Here is a 4,418-nt window from a genome sequence, read left to right as displayed (position 1 = left end):
GCTAAGATATTTACCATCACCAGTGTCTAGAGTTTTATGGGCCTTGAAGAACAGGAGGATTTTTTGGTATCCTGTTGTTTCCTTTATTCCCTTTATTTTATCTTTATGTGTCTTTCTCTACCTGACTTGCACTTAGGGCTAGATTTTGGAGATAGTGTTTGTGCACATCTGTGGGAAATAATACAGCTTTTCTTCCCTGTAGGCACAAACTAGTTGGCCTATTTAGGCTTAATATTTTCTTGGGAGTTTAATTATTCTTTTCTTTTGGCCAGTGTCTTTTCCAGCAGTAGCAACTTAGGGCCTTCCAAAGTCCTTTCTGGGACTTAATGTGGTGCTTTTCCCTTTTAGGGTACTCTGTGAAGTTCAGGAAGTGATTACTTTGCATACTTGCTCTGAAATAACATCTAAAATTCAACGTGTTCTAACTCAGCCTTTTATTAATGCTGTGAAAGATAAAGCCAGATACTACTTAAACTGGTAAGGACATATTTTAATCAGTAATATACTGTTGCAATAGGAAAGAGGATCTAGCATGAACTGAACTCAGCTTCAATTTGTACACAGGTGGCAGAGCTGAGTAGCTTGGTACCACAAGCACGTGCCACCACTCCTGGGCTCAAGCAGTCCTCTCACCTGAGCCTCCCAAAGTGCTGGGATTACAGGCATGAGCCCGGCTGACAGGGTGTTTCAAAGGGAGAATGAAGGAGTAGGGAGGAAGATGAGTGGTGTCTCAGTAGAGACAGGGAAGTTAAACTTCCAGGATATAAAGCAGGCAAAAAAAAGTGAAAAGGGTAGACTGGCTTAGCCTCCCAGCCTACATATTCCTCCCATGCTGGATGCTTCTACCCTTGAACATTGGACTCCAAGTTCTTCAGCTTTGAGACTTGGACTGGCTTCCTTGCTCCTCAGCTTGCAGACGGCATATTGCGGGACCTTGTGTGAGTTAATATCCTATAAACGACAAAGGATTGGTTGATGCAGTTAGGCCAGCTGTGTCTGTTGGCTGCCTTCCCATAGAGATTGGAAGACAGAGGCTCTTAACCTTCCTGATGATTGATTACATTTTAAAGGGATGGCTTTCAGGTCCTTGAGAAAGATGCTCCTGAGTTGTAGGAGAAACATGTACATCTCAAAGGGACAGGAGAAGGATTCACAATTGTAAGCCCTCTTGAGTAAACGCTCTAAGAAAGGAAGGTTGGGGCCTATTGTAAGGTGTTGGCTAAAACAAACAGTAAATTTTTTGGCAGCCTGAAGCTTTTTCAGGCAAGTAGCAACAGTAGCAACTGAATGCAACAGCGAGCTGTTAGAAACTATGTTAGTATTCAGCCAAACACAGCGGCTCACGCCTGTAATCCCAGCACTGTGGGAGGCTGAGGTGGATGGAATCACGAAGTCAGGAGATCAAGACCATCCTGGCTAACACGGTGAAACCCTGTCTCTACTAAAAATACAAAAAATTAGCTGGGCGTAGTGGCACGCGCTTATAGTCCCAGCTACTCAGAAGGCTGAGGCAGAAGAATCGCTTGAACCCAGGAGGCGGAGATTGCAGTGAGCTGAGATGGCACCACTGCCACTGCACTCCAGCCTGGTGACAAAGCAAGACTTTGTCTTAAAATAAATAAATACAATTAAAAAAAGAAACTATGTTAGTATTCAAGTGTTTTAGTGTTGGGTAAAGGAGATACACAATATGCATATCATTTGTGTGGAGAATCTGTAGTGTTTTTTTTTTTTTTTTTTTTTTTTTTTTGAGATGGAATCTCACTCTGTAACCCAGGCTGGAGTGCAGTGGCGTGATCTCGGCTCACTGCAAGCTCCGACTCCCGGGTTCATGCCGTTCTCCAGCCTCAGCCTCCCGGGTAGCTGGGAATATAGGTGCCCGCCACCATGCCCGGCTAATTTATTTGTATTTTTAAAAAATAGAGATGGGGTTTCATTGTGTTAGCCAGGATGGTCTAGATCTCCTGACCTTGTGATCCACCCGCCTCGGCCTTCCAAAGTGCTGGGATTACAGGTGTGAGCCACCGCGCCCAGCCTGTTTTGTTTTTTAGACAGGGTCTTGTTCTGTCACCCAAGCTGGAGTGCAATGGCTCAATCTCAGCTCACTGCAACCTCCGTTCCCTGGGTGCAAGTGATCCTCCCACCTCAGCCTCCTTAGTAGCTGGGACCACAGGTGTATACCACTAAGCTGAGGCATTTTTTTTTTTTTTTTGTATTTTTGGTAGAGACAGGGTCTTGCCATGTTCCCCAGGCTGAGAATCTGTAGTTTTTAAGTGGCCAATATTGAGGTGTTGTCAAGAAGAGGGCTCAGCCTGGCGGGATGACCCATTCCTGTAATAGAGTGTATTAGTCAGTATTCTCTAGAGGGACAGAACTAATAGGAGATATATATACAAAGAGGGAGCTTATTCGGTACTATTAACTCACACGATCACAAGATCCCACAATAAGCCGTCTGCAAGCTGAGGAAGCCAGTCTGAGTCCCAAAGCTGAAGAACTTGAAGTCCAACGTTCAAGGGTAGGAAGCATCCAGCATGGGAGAAAGATGTAGGCTGGGAGGCTAAGCCAGTCTACCCTTGTTGAGAGCAAGCCCCCAACAGTCTGGCCATAAACTAGCCCCAAAACTGGCCATAAATAAAATCTCTGCAGCACTATAACATGTCCATAATGGCCCTAACGCCCAAGCTGGAAGGTTGTGGGTTTACGGGAATGAGGGCAAGGAATACCTGGCCCACCCAGGTTGGAAAACTGCTTAAAGGCATTCTTAAGCCACAAACAAAAGCCTGAGAGATCTGTGTCTTAAGGATGTGTTCCTGCTGCAATTAATTCGGCCCATCCCTTCATTTCCCATAAGGGATACTTTTAGTTAATTTAACATCTATAGAAACAATGCTAATGACTGGTTTGCTGTTAATAAATACGTGGGTAAATCTTTGTTCGGGGATCTCAGCTCTGAAGGCTATAAGACCCCTGATTTCCCACTTCACACCTCTGTGTGTGTCTTTAATTCCTCTAGCACCGCTGGGTTAGGGTCTCCCCAACCGAGCTGGTCTTGGCATACCCTTTTCATTGGTTTTTTGCCTGCTTTATATCCTGGCCACTCCAGCAGCTGATTAGATGGTGCCCACTTGGATTAAGAGTGGACCTGTCTTTCCCAGCCCACTGACTCAAATGTTAATCTCCTTTGGCAACACCCTCACAGACACACCCAGGATCAATACTTTGCATCCTTCAATCCAATCAAGTTGACACTCAGTCTTAACCATCACATACAGCTAAGCAGGAGGCTAAGGCAGGAGGACTGCTCGAGCCAGGAGCTGAAGGCTGCATTGAGCTATGATGGTGCCACTGCACTCCAGCCTGGGCAACAGAGCAAGACCCTGTTCCTGGGGGGGGAAAAAAAAAAAGAAGAGGCTCAGAGGATCTTGGTTGGAGTTTGGTCAAGGAGGGGATGTTTCTCACTGAGTAATTTTAAAACAGTTATTTTGTTTTAGCATTCTGAAATCTGAAATGGGAATATTAGTATCTCCTGTATCTCCTGGGAGCATCAAGTGCAGTACTGAGCAATAGAAATATAATGCAAGCGTCACATGTCATTTACAGTATCTTCATAACCACATTAAATAAAATAATTAAAAATAAACAAGAAACCTTCCTCCCTTCCTTCCTTCTTTCCTCTTGCTCTGTCACCCAGGCTGGATCTCGGCTCACTGCAGTCTCTGCCTCCCGGGTTCAAGTGATTCTCTTCTCTCAGCCTCCTGAGTAGCTGGGATTACAGGAGCCCACCATCACACCCAGCTAATTTTTGTATTTTCAGTAGAGACAGGGTTTTGCCATGTTGGCCAGACTGGTCTCGAACTCTTGACCTTAGGTGATTTGCCCGCCTCGGTTTCCCAAAGTGCTAGAATTACAGGCGTGAGCCACTGCGCCCGGCCTCAAAATATTTTCATTTCAACATGTTATCAACATTTAAAAATTATTGGGAGGCCGAGGAGGGGGGAATCACGAGGTCAGGAGATTGAGACCATCCTGGCTAACACGGTGAAACCCCGTCTCTACTAAAAATACAAAAAATTAGCCGGGCGTGGTGGCGGGCACCTGTAGTCCCAGCTACTTGGGAGGCTGAGGCAGGAGAATGGCGTGAACCCGGGAGTCGGAGCTTGCAGTGAGCCGAGATCGTGCCACTGCACTCCAGTTTGGGCGACAGGGCCAGACTCCATCTCAAAAAAAAAAAAATTATTGGGATATTCTTCATCCTTGTTCCAGTTCCAAGTGTGTGAAATCCGGTGTGTATTTTGCACCTGCAGCACTGGCCACATCAGAGCATTGATTGCACATCACCGGTCTAGACAAGCGGCAGGACTTGCAGTCTTCAGCGAGGGGCGGTTCTTAGCCAGATGGAGGCGGGGCTTCCCGGA

The 4,418-nt window shown here is 46.0% G+C and overlaps 1 annotated feature.

Annotated features, from left to right (window-relative positions):
* Positions 4,279-4,408: an enhancer, noted in NCBI's record as "active region_13286". NCBI's record gives its function as "activates an Ori minimal core promoter by ATAC-STARR-seq in GM12878 lymphoblastoid cells {active_cell/tissue: GM12878}" and the evidence as "EXISTENCE:reporter gene assay evidence [ECO:0000049][PMID:35858748]".

The sequence above is a fragment of the Homo sapiens genome, chromosome 18 (assembly GCF_000001405.40).
Source record: "Homo sapiens chromosome 18, GRCh38.p14 Primary Assembly".
NCBI classification, from domain to species: Eukaryota; Metazoa; Chordata; class Mammalia; order Primates; family Hominidae; genus Homo; species Homo sapiens.
Note: the sequence above shows the minus strand (reverse complement) of the source record. Positions and strands in the feature narration are given on the sequence as shown.